The following is a 17,493-nucleotide window of genomic DNA, read 5'->3' as shown; positions in this document are numbered from 1 at the left end:
GAATAAGAATTTAATAACAGCGCATTGGAAAAAAAGGTGCTCTTCATGATAGAATGGTTTATGCATTTTAAAGTGAGGTTTGCGGAAATTAAAAATTAAATAACATGGTTATACCAGCTAGATTTTGCATCATCCAGAATGGGTGAAAAATATGAACATATTTTTATATGTCAAAATCAGAAGTCACTCTAGAAATGGATATGAATAGTCTTTAACTAGAATATCAGAGTTTCACAAAGCTTTCATCTCTGTAGCTGCGATATAGCCAAATTTGCATTTCGAGGACTGTTCCAGAGTATAGTTTTGTAAGGCCTGAAAATGAGAACTTGATTTTCATCATCCTGAACTGGTCTTTGAACAGTGTGCCAAGGGTGATCAACATTAAATATATGCTCTAAGTGTCTCTTGATTATAGGGACATTGGTTAAATAATGGTTAATGTCAAATGACAACATTTTGACCCGTAACTTGCTTTTATTTGGAAAAGTCGGTGAGTGGAGGGTTGAAAGTTGTTGCCAGGCTCTGAGTATCAGTTCATAGGTAGGTAAAGGCATTTCCATGTGGAATGAGCTGTGGTACGGTGGTCTGGGCTCCGCTTTCACTTCTGTCACATCTTCTCTAAGCCCCAGTTTCATCTGTAAGATGATAATTAGCATCAATCTGGATACAACTCAGTGTACCTTTGGGAGTAAAGTGCAACTCTAATGTGTAAACACTTAGAAAATGGTAAAGCTGATTTACATAAAAGTAGAGATATATATATTCTCCTGTGTGTCTTTTAACAGTATTTTAGAAAGAATATATTGGCCTGTTAAACTCCTAATAAAAATATGTTAGGAGAGAGTATGAACAAAAACTGTAAAGAATATAAGGTAGGCAACATAGAACAAAGCATTGATTATAATTATTTTTATTTTAATTAATTAATTTATTTTATTAACGTCTTTTTTTTTTGTTTTTCGAGATGGAGTCTCATTCTTTTGTCCAGGCTGGAGTGCAGTGGTGCAGTCTCGGCTCACTGCAACCTCCGCCTCCCAGGTTCAAGCGATTGTCCTGCCTCAGCCTCCTAAGTAGCTGATATTACAGGCGCCTGCTACCATGCCTGGCTAATTTTTTTTTTATTATTTTTAGTAGAGACTGGGTTTCACCATGTTGGCCAGGCTGGTCTCAAACTGCTGACCTTGTGATCAGCCCACCTCGGCATCCCAAAGCGCTGGGATTACAGGCGTGAGCCACCGCGCCTGGCCGATTTTAATTATTTTTAATGTGCTTGTTTCCTCCTCATGTGAAGTCTCTCCCTCCTTTCTGTTCTGCCCCTTCCTTTTTCCTTACCTGACCTGGGACAGCTTCTGCAGAAAGGTATGATCACTATAGATAATGCTTTGGGGAAAGGCTTTCTTTTTAAGATGTCTTAGCCACTGTGGAAGGGAGAGTAGGGAGACTTTCACAATTTATAGTTTTGAAATATCTCTTCAGTGTTACAAAGAATGTCCGATAAAGTAAGATCATAACCTGAGGCATATTTGGAGTTCAATGAATTGATCGTTTTTTGTTTCACTGTGATTATAGTAAAGTCAGCATAAAAACATTGCTTTTTTCATCTGCAGACTCTGGATTAATAGGACCATAGAGCAGCAAATTGCTAGGTGCACTGTGGCAGTTTCAATAATAATAATAACAGAAAAGTTAGAGTAATTGACACAATTCTCAGTGGCCTTCATTTTTTTCGTCTTGCCTGCTCTTAAGTAGAAATTCAGCTAAATATATTCCACTGATAGAGTTCATGAAAGAAAATAAAGGTGATATTTTTACCCTAGGATTCTGCCATTTGTCTGAAAGCTTTAGAATCATTCTACACAGATGCCAATTTTCCATCAAGTTCTGTTACTCCACAGCCCTGTTAAAAATTCTCAGCCCTGTTAAGAATTCAGCTCTGTTAAGTTGCCTGGGCCGGGAGTGGTGGCTCACGCCTGTAATGTCAGCACTTTGGGAGGCTGAGGCGGGTGAATCATCTGAGGTCAGGAGTTTGAGGACAGCCTGGCCAACATGGTGGAACCTGATCCCTACTAAAAATACAAAAATTAGCCAGGCATAGTGGCACCTGTCTGTAGTCTCAGCTCTTGGGGAGGCTGAGGCAGGAGAATCGCTTGAACCCAGGAGTCATAAGTTCCAGTAAGCCACGACTGCGCCACTGCACTTCAGCCCAGGCAACAGAGTAAGACTCTGTCTTAAAAAAAAAAAAAAAAGAATTCTCAGTCTTCTGTGTTGCTCCCCACAAGACTTCTCCAATACTAACTTTGCTTCACTACAAAGTATGAAACTCTTATCTAAAGTTTTCTTGTGCTCACTGAAGATATATACTCTAATTAAATGATGTATGTTAAATGTATGTAAAGCTCCAATTTCTTTTTCTAAAATCTGAACTCCCAAAGGACAGCATGGAGATCTGATTCTGTCTTCAGATTTTTTAAAAAAACTCTTTTACCATCAGAAAATATTTCATTTTCTGTATTTTGTAGAGTTTTACAGCCTCTCCAGGAAGGGGAGCAAGGACAAAGCCTATGCTGTTTTTATTATTAGTCATTCTTAGGAGGCAAGGTGGGAGGGACAGGGAAAGGGCTAGATGCCCCAGTTCCCGATAGAGAATTTGACAGTTTAAAGGATTTCCCCGTATTCCCTGACTGAGAAATATATATTTTATGTATTTTTCAGAAAAGTTGGGTTATGCTGCAGTAACAAATGGTCCCCAAATCCTAATGTCTTACAGCAGCAAAAGTAACATTTGCCCTATTGTAGGGTAATTGTGGCTTTGCTCCAAGTCATCTTCATTTCGATATCCAGTATAATGGAGCAATTTCTAACGAAACGTTGCCAATCATCATGTCAGAAAGAAAGAGATCAGGTTCAACTTGCAAGTGACACATCTTTTCTGCTTACACGTTGTTGACCAAGTTAAATCACATGACCAAACCTGATGGCTTTGACATAGTATATTTCTCTCCTGAAAAGTAGAGGACATATTTTTAGAAGTCTACCACCAGTGGCTAATGCTAGCTATGAGCCAGGCACTATACTAGGCATTTATAAATATTAACTCTCATCTTCATAATAATCTTAGAATATAGGGATTTTTAACACTCATTTTGCAGAAGAGGAGAAAAACTGGGCAGTTTGAGTATGTTCATACATTTAATTAGAGAAAAACCAAGGATTGAATACAGATCTAGCTGACTGCATAGCCTAGATTTTACCGATAACCTGAACTGCGTTTCAAATAGTCAACTTATTGTAATCAGTATCTCCTTGAAGAGAAGCCAAGGGGAAGAAAAAACACCAGTTTCCTCAAAACTCATGAGTGAAAAACCCAGCTCCTGATTCAGCTATATAATCCATATTTTTCCAAACATGGAAACTACCCTCAAAAACCTCATCATCTAACATAAAACATGATAATCTAAGAGAAGAAATGAAATGCACTGATTAAGGTAATGATAGTTGTAGTAATATTAACCCCCCCACACACACATTTCAGCCAATTAACATAATGAAATTGGTTTTCTCACTCATGTTGTGAGCACTCTGGGGGGACTGGAGACTTTCCTCTCTCTCATGGTTCAGGATTCCAGGTTCTATCCCCCTATTTGCTCTACCATCTCCTACGATCTCGGGGTCCTCTGCACTCAGTGGATTGGGAAATGGAGGTAATGCTTGCTTCTTATCTGCTCCACCCTAAATGTGACACACATTGTGTCTACTCTCATTCCATTAACAAGAATTTGTTATAGATCCCTAGGAAAGATGCCTAGGAATGTAGTCCCTGACTGGGCAGCCATTCCCAGCAACAACTCTACATTATGGAAAAAGCTTCAGGAATTTCTGGTTAACTTCAAGGCACCTCTGCCACATGGGACATTGTCATCTTTGTGATGATACAAAGTAGAAAGTGAATTCATGCCAAGAAAAGATGCAGATACATTTCAGTTCATGAAGTATTTGTTTTCTTTCTCCAAATGCAACCAATAAAAAGAAAGAAGAATATTTTTATTTAGAAATCGATTAAATGGTTTGTCAGATGTTTTACCAGATATTATTAGGGACATAAAATAAAGTATGATGTATTTTCTGACCCCAAAGGGATACCATAGGTCCTCTCATTTGAATTTAAAATCCAGGGATGGAGGAATTCTTTTTGAATCTTGCCCATAGCTGAGTAGGTAGCCAGAGAAGACTCAGTTTCCTCACCTGTGAAATGGGAATATCTGTTCCACAAGATTGATACTGAATTATGAAGCCCTGTTGAAAAGGAAATTAAGCCCATTGTTTACTGTCTCATTCCCCTTTCTCTACAATCTATAGGAACTAGAACATATAAATATTGGCAGAGCCTGTTTTCTGTGCATAAAATGTAAATTTCAGGAAACTCATTTAGCTCCATTTATATAATCATGATAAAATATATAAAATACTCAATTTCTAGAACTGAAATACAGAGATAAAGATTCCGATAAAATTTGCTAATTATTATTCTCTTAATTCCCTAGCTTCTGCAACTCTCCCAATTCTGTTCCTCCACCCAGAAGTAGGAAGTCAAATTTATTAGGACTCTGGGAATTAGTACTCTACTGCCCTAATTTCAATGAATCCACAGCTGAAATGAGGGAAGAGAATCTGAATTACTATCGCTTTCTCCAGAGGAAGGAAGCATTTTTCAGTGGGCCTAGGGCAAAAGTTTTTCCTCAATTCCTAAAAACAGAACTTCTCAAACTTGCCTTGATAGTAAAAGCCACAGAGAGTACTTGCCAAACAAATTAAAGGACTTATACAAACCTAGTTCTCAAATTTAAGCATGCACCACAATCTCCTGCAAGCCTTGTTAAAACAGAGATTTCTAGACCCCACCCCTAGATATGCCTATTTTGTGAGCCTGGAGGTAGGGAGAGCATTGAGAATTTATGTTTATACCAATCCCTAGAAGATGCTGATGCTGCTGATCCAAGAGCCATATTTTGAGACCCCCTCTACCTAAAGCATTAATGCCCCATCCTGGCTGCTGATCCAAACTAACTGCTGATGCAGAGCTGAAGTGAAAAGTACTTCTCTAATGATTTTAGGTTTTCAAAGAGGACTTTTTTTTTTTTGTTAAATTATCAACAGCTGGCCCTTGAATTGGGCGTTTGGCCAAGAATTCTCTTGTAACTAACTGCTTCTCCCTGTGGCTTTTTAGTGAGTCACCACAAGCTCTTTGGGGTTGTAATTACCCTTAATCCTCCTTCTTGTCTGTGACTGTGTGCCTCTCTTTATTTTTTCATATGCTTCTTCATCTCTCCTGCCAGCTCCCTAGCTGGAACTCAGAAGGTTATTTGGTTAAAGCATAGAGAAGTGCAGAGGAAGCAATGTCTAGTGCATTTGCCTTTCCTTTCTGCACTTGGCTGCACTGTACACAACCTGTACAACTAAACCACATTATCTATTTTTCCTGAAGTTCAATTTTCTCATCTGTAGAACAGAGAGTAGCATGTTACAAGATTATTGTGAACAAGTTAAAGTACTTAGTTCAAAGAAGAGGCTCAATGAATATTCTATATTGCATTTTCTTCCCTGCCTCTTGCTTCTCTCTTTCCTTTCTTCCCTTTCTCCTTTCCTCTTTTCTTCTTTTGCTCTCTGCCTTGTCCCTAACATAAAGAACAGAAAGGAGCTAATCTCCCTCCCTTCTCCACTCCAGACTAGTCATTATACAGCCTGCTTTTTGCTAATCTCTTGCCTCCTTTCTCTGAACCGGCAGTACCAACCTTCACGTTCTAATAATCTGTCCCGATGTCAAGGCCCTGGCTCTGTCATTAAAGTGGGTGAGTTCAGGAAGCAACATACATCACTTTCTGAGTCATAGCTTTATGTATTATTTCTTAGCAGACAGTCCCAATATTATGCCTACTGTCCTCATTTTTATTATATTTCGGCCACAATTGTGGCGTAGTTAACAGAAAAGCGCAAAACACAAATTATGAACATCCCAAAAGTTATGGATTATTTTCCAAACATAAAATTCTGGCTATTTACATGATTATGTTGTGTAGTAACACATGAATCATAGGGACACATTTAGTAGCAATGGCATTAAAAATACCATCAACACCTGCCCTTTAAGCTTTTTTTTAATTTCGGTATTATCACATGTACACTTTGAGCAGACGTGCCTGGCCACACTGTATTGAGAGCAGAGACTAATGAGTCCAATTATCTTTGAAGTTTAGAGAATCCTGGTATTTCAGTGGAAAAAAAATGCTGTCTGCAAAGTAGAGCTGTTATGTTTTTCTTGAACTTTAGAGGGCAGCAGAGGAGCTGTCTGAAAAAAATCCCTACTTGACCAGGAAAAGCATTTTTGTTTCCCAAGTTATTTGTACAAAACGTTTTCATTGAAAGGAAAGGATAATATTTTAAAAGATGCTTGTAATCATGTTTTTAAGATGAAGATATTATTTCATAGTATATTTGAAATAGAAGGACTTTTTTCCCCTTGAAAAAATTTACTCTGTAGTAATTGATGATTAACTTGGGAAGAAGTCTCAGAGGAAATTTTAAAAAGGGAGGATTGGTTATGATAAAAATAATGTATATTGGCCAGGTGCGGTGGCTCATACCTATAATCCTAACATGTTGGGAGGCCAAGGCTGGCAGATCACTGGAGCCCAGGAGTTTGAGACAAACCTGGGTAATATGGTGGGGGAAGAAAATAGCCAGGCATGGTGGCACGTGCTTGTAGTCCCAGCTACTTGGGAGGCTGAGATGGGAGGAGCACTTGAGCCTAGGAGGTTAAGGCTATAGTGAGACACGATTGCACCACTTCATCCCAGCCTGGGAGACAGAGTGAGACCCTGTCTCAAAGAAAAATAATAATAACATAAATAAATAAAATAGTGTATATAATAATATAATAGAATAAAGTGTATTTTATTTCAGAGTGTTTTCTTCTGTTTGTATGTGTTTTAAATATGTGTTTAGAAGATCAAAAATAGTTTTGGAGAATCACTGCTGTGTGTAAACAGTTAATAGATGATGTTGAGCAATGTGAGACAAACTTGTGCACAAATACAGATTTCAAATTGAATAAGAAAGCTGTTTTGCTTGAATAATTAAAAAAGTGCGCTAGCAAAAAAGCGAAACAGGGTTTTGCTTTAAGGTGGAGTTAATTTGATTAGATTTGTCAGCCAGCCAGTTTCACAACATCTGAATACAGTTTAAGAGCAAGTGATCCAAAAATCAGTCTCTAAGTTCCTATTAATAGTGACAATGAGAGATGCTTGTCTTAGATTTTTTTCTCTTTCTCTGGGTGACACCAAATCCTATAAGGCATGTGGCCACTAGTATGACTCGTCCCCAGAGAGTGGGACTGTGTTAGGACTGAAGAGCCAACCCCACAGCCTAAACCGTTTATTACAAATCATCGCTCGTTTACCATTCAAGCGAACTTGGGTCCGCCGCGTAATGCAAGCGATGAAAGCACAACTTACCTCATTTTCTCTTGTTCTGAAATGTTTTCTTTGGAGATTGCGAGCAGTCTTTCTTGCCTGCTGTGCTCCGGTACCGAGGCAGTACCTTGCAGTAGGGGTTCCCTTACTTGCCTTGTTCAGATTCTTTTCTCCCTGCTAATCAAGGGCCTGATCTCAGGTCTTTTTCACACATTTATTCTCTTCTTCTTCCTTTCTGATGTTTATTGTCTTTCCTTGTACATTTTAATTCTTTTAGTAACTATGTGATCATTCTCCTTCATCCTAGTTTTTGGCTTTATTCTCTCTTTTTGACTTTATATCTGGGAATAGGTTTTCTTGAGCTTGGAACCTGGATTGCAAGAAATCAAACATGTGATTACCTACCCCTATATTTCTCCAGTAAGCTTTTTGCAGAGTGATCCATTTGCCCTAAGGGTTACTCTCAAAGAAGATCCTCTGGGGCAGAATTTGTTCCCATCAGTGCCAGCTTTCCATCTGGCAGGATCTCTCAGGGTTTGCTGGTGCTACCCAAGGCTTGCTGCCCACACTGATGGGATAACAGGATATTTCCTAAAGTTTTTGCGGCTCTGCATTATTAACATGGCCACATCCTCAGTGCCCTTGGGCTTTAAAAATTTAACCTGATCAAAGCAGCATACCTATTTGATATACCTAAGTGGGAGAGAGTCTCAGAAATGAGTCACAATGGCCTTCCGACTTTCAGAAAACACCATGCTCTTTTTTTCCAAAAGCCACAGAGCTGATATGACAGGACACTGACGCAGCAGGACTCTGGGATCATTAAAATCCCAATAACAAGAATCTTATCATGTCTTGGCGTGTCTGCTGTGAATTACATGAGATGCTCTATCTGAGAATGTTTTTATGAAGATATCCACCTTTTGTTGCTTCCTTCCTTTTATCTTTTTGCAGAGGGAGACGGCCTTGGTTTTGAGGCCGGTTCATTTACTCTGCCTAACCCCGTAGCCCTCAAGTGGCTCCATTGCCACAGTTCCAGCGTCAACCACACAGTTGTGGTGTAGTGTTGTGAGCAATGAGGCAGGCTGCGTGTAGCTCCTACAACAGACTCAAATCCAGAAAAACAGACCGCTTCCAACTTGGAAACACGTATCATTCAAATATTTATTATATATTTTTGGAAGTTGGCTGCAGGAAACCTACATTTTTTTATTAACTCTTGTTATACAAACAAACCAAAATGCCTTCAATGCCTACCATGTACCAAATGGGGCACTCATCCCATTGCTGAAGTTAACAATCCTTAAGAAGTAAAAATTAATTCCAAAACCCAGAAGAAAAGTTGTTGTATCCAGTTTGTTTTATTATGTTCTGTTTTGTGTGTGTGTGTGTGTGTGTGTGTGTGTGTGTGTGTGTGTGTGTTTGTTTTGGTTTGGTTTGGTTTGGTTTTGGTTTGTCACATTTTTTTCATTGAGATTCTGGCCATGACATATTTCAGAAAAGATTTTTAATCATTCTGAAAAGCTGTAGGATCAGGGTAAGGAGTTTGTTTTCTTTTAAAGTGTAGGATGGTAAATACAATGATACTGAGTGATATATTGTCTCTGCCAGGATTAGATAGATTTGCTTCACCTCTATGGACTTGACCTATGCCAGGGATGGGGTACTGCGATTGTAGGGTGGGGATGAGGCCATGCTTGCTGAAGAAATTCAGCCAACTCTAAAGTATGTTGATTTTCTATATATTACATGACAGCCCCATTAGGAGACGTTATCTGGGGCATTTGTATAAATGGGATGGGGTTTCCAGGACACTGCAGAAGCAATGCTTTATACCCTTAATATTAAAATTCTACTGAGCATGATTTGACCTCTCTCTCTTGCTGTCTCTCATTCTCTCTCTTATTCTCTTTCTGTCACTCTCTGAATCCTGAGATGATTTCAGAATCCCTTAGTGCCACAGCTTATCATTGTGATAATTAATTGTAGTTGAACTGGCAGGGAAAATGTTAGTTAATGAATGATATTTGTTGATAAAATGCCAGATAACAGAGGATTAATTATAACAGCTCATTTTGGGGAAAACAAGTCCATCAGAATGAAGTTAATGATCAGTTTGCCATCTGGCCTAGATTAGGGGGCCATCTTGGTCAGCATTGAGTGTTGAGTCACATAAGTTCCCTGAAGTGTCTTAATATAAGTCAGATGTATCCACAGCATACTATAAACATTGTGGGTTAGACTTTGGAGTTCGGTGTTTAGTGTTCATAATTTGACTGGGCAGAGTCTTGCAGGGTTTTGGGATTTTAATACCCTGAACAAATGGGAAAAGGAGGAAGCAAAAGAACTAGGCAGGACAGGCCTGAGGACAATGATCCTGATCTCTAGGGGTAGTGGGTAGAGCATAGTGAACTTGTGTGTTGTAAGGGCTGGATGATAATGACCACCAGAAGCATAGTACCAGGTGGTCAGTTCATTCATAGCAGTCAGTATTCCAGCTGACAACTAGAGGACTAAAAGAAGGAAGCACTCCACCTCACTTCTTTGGTGTTCTTGCTCCAGGGAAGAGTATACACGTTGTTTGCAGGTGCTGGAGCACATGAAGGACCAGGTCACTAGCTTAGTTTCAGAATGAGCCTTAACTCCTAGCTGAGAACTCACATGTAAGTCCAGAGCACAGAATAAGGAGCCAAGAATTGTTATTTGCATGTTTTAAGCTACCACTCTTGGAGAGTGCCCACTATGTGTCAGGTACCTTATCTTAAATATTTAACCCTCACTACAATTCTGTGAAATAAATATTTTTCATGCCTGGTCTCCAAATTAAAAGACTGAGAAAGCTTGGAGAAGTTAGGCGAACAAGTCAATGTCCAATATCTAGTAAGTTTCAGAGTCATGTTTTATAGTCAGATATGTATGTATTCAGATATATCAACAAAATTAGCCAATGTAATGGGGTTATTGTAGGAGGTTGCAACTGGTGGTCTTAGGACACTGGGCATTGCCCTAGACATAATGAAGAGAGTTGAGTTTGTAGACTCAGTTATTGGGTACAACAATCCTTCTTGCCCACATCAGAAATTGATGGAGGTAAGGAAAGGAGCATGTAGAGAATCCTGTGGACAGAAAGCATTCATAATCCAGCATTGATCTGGAAAGTATATCTTATGTACCTGCTGAGCATGTCAAGTTCTTACTCTTAGCTGCTGTCAGTAGGATTGGCCATCAGATTCTGGATTTTATGTCATAGTAGAATCAAGTGTATGTTTACTATAAGTACTCTTAGGGCTTGTCTTACAGTAGGCATTCAACTCAGTGCTTATGAATGACTAAATAAATGGGTGTGTTCTTTCCTGAAATAGCAGAAAGCAGTAATGTTCTTCTTCTATTTATACTCAAAAAAGGCTATGTGCAAAGCAGGAGAGACAGCCTGGCAGTCTACACCTGTGCCAGTAATCCCCCAACAATCCTGTCAAGATTAATTTTCAGAGAGCTCTTACACAAGAATATTTGGTGACTTCATGTTCTACAGTGATCTATTGAATCAGAGGAATCAAAAATAGCCACTTTTTCCATGGTCGTAGAGGGGTGTTACTCATATTACTTTTATGAGAAATGAGTAAGTGAGATGGATGCATTGAAATATATTTATTAAAATTAAAAATAAATTCTGAACAACTAGTCAAGTATTTCTGCTGCTTTGGTATGGAACATTGTGTAAATGTCTGTCAGGTCTATCTGGTGTATAGCGTTGCTCAAGTCCTCTATTTCTTTGAACAACAGTATACACCAAATAGATGTGATAGACACCAACTAGGCGTGATAGAAAAAAACAGCAGAATATATACTCTTTTCAAGTACATATGGAACATTCCCCAGGATAGATTATATGCTAGGGCATAAAACAAGTCTGAATAAATTTTTAAAAAATTATACAAAGTATGGTCTCCAACCACAGTGGAATGAAATGAGAAATCAGTAACAGAAGGAAATTTAGAAATTCACAATTATGTGGAAATTAAGCAACACACTCTTGAGTAATCAATGGTCTGAAAAATGCCAGAAAGATTAGAAAATGCTATGAGAGAAATGAAAATGAAGATAAAACATACGAAAAATTATAGAATGTAGCTTACACAGTACTTACAGAGAAATTTATAACTACAAATGTCTATATAATAACATCTCAAGTCAATAATCTAACCTGACAACTTAAAAAACTATAAAAAGAAGAGCAAACTAAATGCAAAACAATCAGAAGGAAGAAAATAGTAAATATTAGAACAGAAATAAATAAAATAGGAAATAGAAAAACAAAAAATCAATCAATTCTAATTGGTTCTTTAAGAAAAAAATTAAAATTGACAAAATTTTAGCTAGACTGAAGAAGAAAGGAAAGAAGGTATAAGTTGATAAAATCAAAAATGGGAGTGGAGACATCACTACCAACCTTACAGAAATAAAAAAGGATCATATAGGAATGCTGTGAACATTTGTGTGCCAACAAATTAGGTAGCTTAGATGACATGACAAATTTCTAGAAAGACAACCAGAAACAACCACCATTGATTCAAAGTGAAATAGAAAATCTGAATAAACTTATTACAAGTAAAATGATTTAATTTCAAACGAAAACATTTCCCACAACTTAAAGCCCAATTCCAGATGGCTTTGCTGGTGAATTCGATTAAACATTTAAAGAAGAATTAGTAATAATTCTTTACAAACTCTTTCAAAAAAGAGAAGACAAAGGAATATTTCCAAACCCATTCTAGGAGCTAGCATTATCCTTATGCCAAAACCAGGTAAAAACAGCACAAGAAAAGAAAACTAGAGAGCAGTATCTCTTATAAATGTAGACACAAAATTTCTCAATAAAATACTAGCAAACACTGGCAATAAAAAGGAATAAAGTACGAATACATGCTACAACATTGTTGAACCTTGAAAAATATTATACTAAGTGAAAGAAACCAAACACAAAAGACCACATCTTTTATGATTCCATTTATATGAATGTCCAGAATACAGAAATCTATAGAGACAGAAACTAGATTAATGGTTGCCCAGGGATGAGGTATGAAGTTGGAGAGAAAAGAGAACTCAAACAACTCAATCACAAAAACACAAATAATCTGGTTTAAAAATAGGCGAAAGACCTGACTAGACATTTCTCAAAAAAAGACATTCAAATGACAAAGAGGTATATGAAAAAAATATTTAACATCACTAATCATCATGGAAATGCAAATCAAAACACAATGAGGTATTACCTTACTCCAGTTAGAATGACTTCTATCAAAAATACAAAAGATAACAAGTGTTGGGAAGGATGTGGAGAAAAGGGTACCCTTAAATACTGTTGGTGAGAATGTAAATTAGTTTAGCCATTATGAAAAACAATATGGAGATTTCTCAAAAAATTAAAACTGGGACTACCTTATGATCCAGCAATCCCACTGCTGGATATATATCCAAAGGAAATGAAATCAGTATGTCAAGGAGATGTCTCACTCTCATGTTTGTTGCAACACTATTCACAATAGTCAAGTTATGGAATCAACCTAAATGTTCATTAACATTTATGGATAAATAAAATGAATAAATAAATGGATAAATAAAATGAATAAATAAATGAATAAATAAAATGTGGCATATATATGGTATACAAACACACATAGACACACATACACACACACACACACACACACACACACACACACACACACAATGGAATACTATTTAGCCATAAAGAATAAAATCCTATATCATTTGTGACAATATAAATGAACCTGGAAGACATTATGTTAACTGAAATAAACCTAACACAGAAAGACAAATACTGCATAATCTCACTCATATGCAGAATCTAAAGTCGTTGATCTCACTGATGTAGAGAATTGAATAGTGGCTACCATGGGCTGGGAAGAGTAGTTGATGATATGGTTTGGCTGTGTACCCACCAAAATCTTATCTTGAATTCCCGTGTGTTGTGGGAGGGACCAGGTGGGAGGTAATTGAATCATGGGGGCAGGTCTTTCCCATTCTTCTCTGGTGATAGTGAGTAAGTCTCATGAGATCTGATGGTTATTATAAGAGGGAGTTTTCCTGCAGAAGCTCTTTGCCTGCCGCCATCCACGTAAGACGTGACTTGCTCCCCCTTGCCTTCCGCAGTGATTGTGAGGCTTCCCCAGCAATGAGGAACTGTAAGTCCAATTAAACCTTTTTCTTTTGTAAATTTCCCAGTCTTGGGTATATCTTTATCAGCAGGGTGAAAACACACAAATACATGGGGGAAGGGGAATGGGTAGAAAATGGTTCATGGGGAGAAAGTTACGGTTACTTAGAAGGAATAAGATCTGGTGTTCTATTGCACAGTAGGGTGATTATAGTTAATAAGAATGTATTGTTTATTTCAAAACAGCTAGAATAAAGGATTTTGAATGGTCTTACCACAAAGAAATGATAAGTGATTGAGGTGATAGATATTCTAATTACTCTAATTTGATCATCATGCATTATATACATATATTGAAACATTGTACTTTATAAATATGAACAATTATTTTGTGTCAATTAAAAATAAAATCTAAACAAAAACAACAGTGGAGCACTGATTTGAGGATAAGATTACCAGAAAGTCGTGGAGGTAAAGTGAGGTCATCAAGTTTATGGAGAGGAATCTGGGGACTCTTTCTAGCACCATTAACCTCTTAACCAAATTCTGAAGGATAAAATGTGCATCAGGCATGTGAGGCAGGAAAGACATGGCAAGCAGATGAACAGCCCGGACACACGTAGGGCTTAGAGGAGCAAGTTGACTCAGTTGGCATACAAGGTGCAGCTGGGAATGTTAGGAAAAAGTCTAGAGACTGGACTTACAAGAGATTTTTTTCTACCTTTGGAATTTAACCAATATTTCCTAAAATCTGCCTGGAGGAGGTGCTTCCCAAATTATCTGCAGTAAGTGAAAGATTTTTCTTCTTATTACTTTAAATCTGCCATGAACTGATACTTTTGTAAAACACAATAAAGATGAATTACTAGAAAAATGAAGTGTGAAAAAAAAAAACTTCACAAGCTACTGTTCATATTTGTATTAGTCCATTTTCGCACTGCTTTAAAGAACTACCCGAGACTGGGTAATTTAAGAAGAAAATGGGTTTAATTGACTCACAGTTTGCATGGCTGGGGAGGCCTCAGGAAACTTACAATCATGGCAGAAGGTGAAGGAGAAGCAAGGCACATCTTCCCATGGTGGAGCAGTGGAGAGAGAGCGAGACACAGGGAATGCTGAACACTTTTAAACAGCCAGATCTCATGAGAACTCAGGACACAGCACTAGGGCAATGGTGCTAAACCATTAGAGACCACCTCCATGATTCATTCACCTCCCAGCAGGCCCCTCATTTGACATGTCAGAATTACAATTTGAGGTGAGATTTGGGTGCAGACACAGAGCCAAACCATATGACTATTCTTGGCAGCATTGTCAATTTGTTATAGCGTTTTCTAAATATTGACTCTCCGTTTCTGTATTTCTCTTATTGCAGACAATCAATAAATAATTTGTGAACCTGCACTGGTCCACAAACCACATCATGACTAGCAGGGGTCTAAAGGATACATCCCAAAAGATTCCCTGACAACCCAGTGGTCAAATGTATGTGTGAAACATTGGGAATTTTATCTGCCCAGACCTCCCCCAGGAGATGCATACATGACATTCTCTAAAGTTACTGAGAAATTTTGCAGTAAAAATGCCCTAATTTGCAATGGAATGGTACTTGGAGGTGGGGACTTTGGATGGTAATTAGGTAATTAAATGAGGTCATGAAGTTGGGACTCCCATAATGGGATTAACATCTTTATAAGAAGAGGAAGAGAGGCCAGAGCATTCTCTCTCTCTGCCATGTTAGAACGTAGCAAAAAGAAGGCTGACTGTAAGTCAGGAATAGAGCCCATAAGGGTGAACTGAATCAGTCCATATCATGATCTTCCCAACATCCAGAACTATGAGAAATAAATTCCTGTTGTTTAAGCCATGCAGTCTATGGTATTTCGGTATGGCAATCTGAGCTAAGACAAGAGTCAAGTAGGCAGTGGTAAGTGCAATGGAGACAAGCAAATGTGGAGCAAGAAGGGGTCCAACAGGGAGAGCTGCAATTAAATAAAATTGCACTGAGAAGATGACATTTGGGTAAAATTTAAAGGTGAGAGAAAAACCATGAATATATGGGATGGGTAAGGGATTGGGGGAATGATAAGATAGAGCAAGCAATTTTGTGAATGCCCCAAGGCCGCAGGATGCTTGGAACTGTGCAAAGAGCTGGAACAGAATGAATGGAGGAAAGAGCAATAGGAAAGAAAATAAAACACAAGAGATGGGGGGCGGGGGGCAGATTTTGCAAGGCCTTGTAGGTTTTTGCAAGATCGTGGCTTTTACTCTGAGACTGAAAGACATGAGAAGATTGGACCAGAGGAGTGATATCATCCAATTTGCGTTTGCACAGGATCACTGTGGCCCTTGTGTAGAGAGGAGATTACAAGGTTGTGACTTTCCAGGGAGACCACCTGGAAAGATATTGCAATAATTTAAGCTTGAGATGAACAAGGCTCAGAGCAGCACAGAGGCAATGGTGATGGTGAAAGTGGTTGGATTCTGAATATGCTGAAAACTACTAAGGTAGTCCTGACAGAACTGGCTCATAGATCAGATGTGAAGCATGAGAAAAGAAAAGACAATCATGATACTAACATTTTTGACCTCACTAATTATAAGACTTCACCTGTCCTGAAATGGGGGGAGAGTAAAGAAGGAGCATATTTGGGAGTAAGAAATATCGGGAGCTCTGTTTTGAACCTGACAAGTTTGAGATACCCAACAGAGTTGCCAAGCAGGCAATTGGATGTATGAGTCTGGAGGGCAGGAGAGAGGTCCTAAGAGGAGCTATACTTTTGGGAGCTGTCAGTGTTAATCATAAAGCCATGAGACTGGGTAAAACCAGTGAGAGTGTGAGTGCAGACAAACTGGAAAGTCTAAATGTAGTCCCTGGGGTACTGCTTCATTAAGAGCTTATAGGGTTGAGGAGGAAGAGCAAGGGAGACAGGAAGAAAAACAAGGGAAGAAATAGGAAAACTAATACAGTTTAATGTCATGGAAACCAAATTCAGAACGTGTTTCCAGGAGGGATCCTTCAACCTTATCAAATGCTGCCACTGGTTAGGTAAGATCTGGACTGAGAAGTTGTTGATGACTTTAAAGAGAGCCATTTTTATGAGTACAAAGGTGAAAGCCAGATTGAATCATGTTCAAAAGTAATTTGGAGTAAAGGAATTGAAGAGAGTGGCCATAGAAACTCTTTTGAGAAGTTTGAAACAGTAGCTGGAGGGAAAATGAGAAAAGTGAGGTTTTGATGATGATAATGATGATGATGGTTAAAAGATAATGCTGTTTTTATATATTGATTAAAAACAGTGATAACGTAGGGGAAATAAGAGGAGAGCTGGAGCTTAGAGCAGGTGAAAGGGGATGTAGTCTTGTGCACAGGTGAAGAATGGGTCTTTCCCAGAAAAGGGTTCAGTTAGTCCATATTAAGAGAAACAAGAGGGGTGTATGAGTTTAGATACAGGTACATGAAAATCTCTAGTGGTAGAAGCTAGAGGAAGTTCTCTTCTGATTGCTTCTATTTTCACAGCAAGTTTTAAGCTGAGAATGAGGATGGGACAGGTGTAAGAAATTGGAGGTGAGAAACAACAAGAATCAGTTGGCTGTGAGAATAGGGGAATGAAAAGTCTAAAGTAAAGTAGTCAGATAGCCAGGCAGCATTGAGGGCTTTTTTAGGTTAGCGATCAGGAAGTTAATGTGAGACCTGTCATCATGGCTGTGTGATTTAAGCACACTACTACTTTTCCTACTATACCTCTTGCCAACCATCCAAAACTCTTTGTGAAGTGCTCACTGATTTCAGTCATAGGTGGGAGCTATTCGGTGGGACATTGACATGGTTCAGTTTACATCATAAAA

The 17,493-nt window shown here is 38.4% G+C and overlaps 1 protein-coding gene and 1 non-coding gene across 7 annotated transcripts in view; both read left to right on the top strand.

Annotated features, from left to right (window-relative positions):
* Positions 1 to 17,493, top strand: part of KCNIP4 (potassium voltage-gated channel interacting protein 4) — a 1,220,167-nt gene that overhangs the window by 472,811 nt on the left and 729,863 nt on the right. The window lies entirely within an intron of this gene.
* On the top strand, positions 11,204 to 11,262 carry MIR7978 (microRNA 7978). Its single transcript, NR_107018.1, has one exon. It is a non-coding gene; the product is annotated as a microRNA 7978 (primary transcript).

Source organism: Homo sapiens, chromosome 4 (genome assembly GCF_000001405.40).
Source record: "Homo sapiens chromosome 4, GRCh38.p14 Primary Assembly".
Classification (NCBI taxonomy): domain Eukaryota; kingdom Metazoa; phylum Chordata; class Mammalia; order Primates; family Hominidae; genus Homo; species Homo sapiens.
The sequence above is the reverse complement of the archived record's forward strand: the minus strand, read 5'-3'. Positions and strand labels throughout refer to the sequence as shown.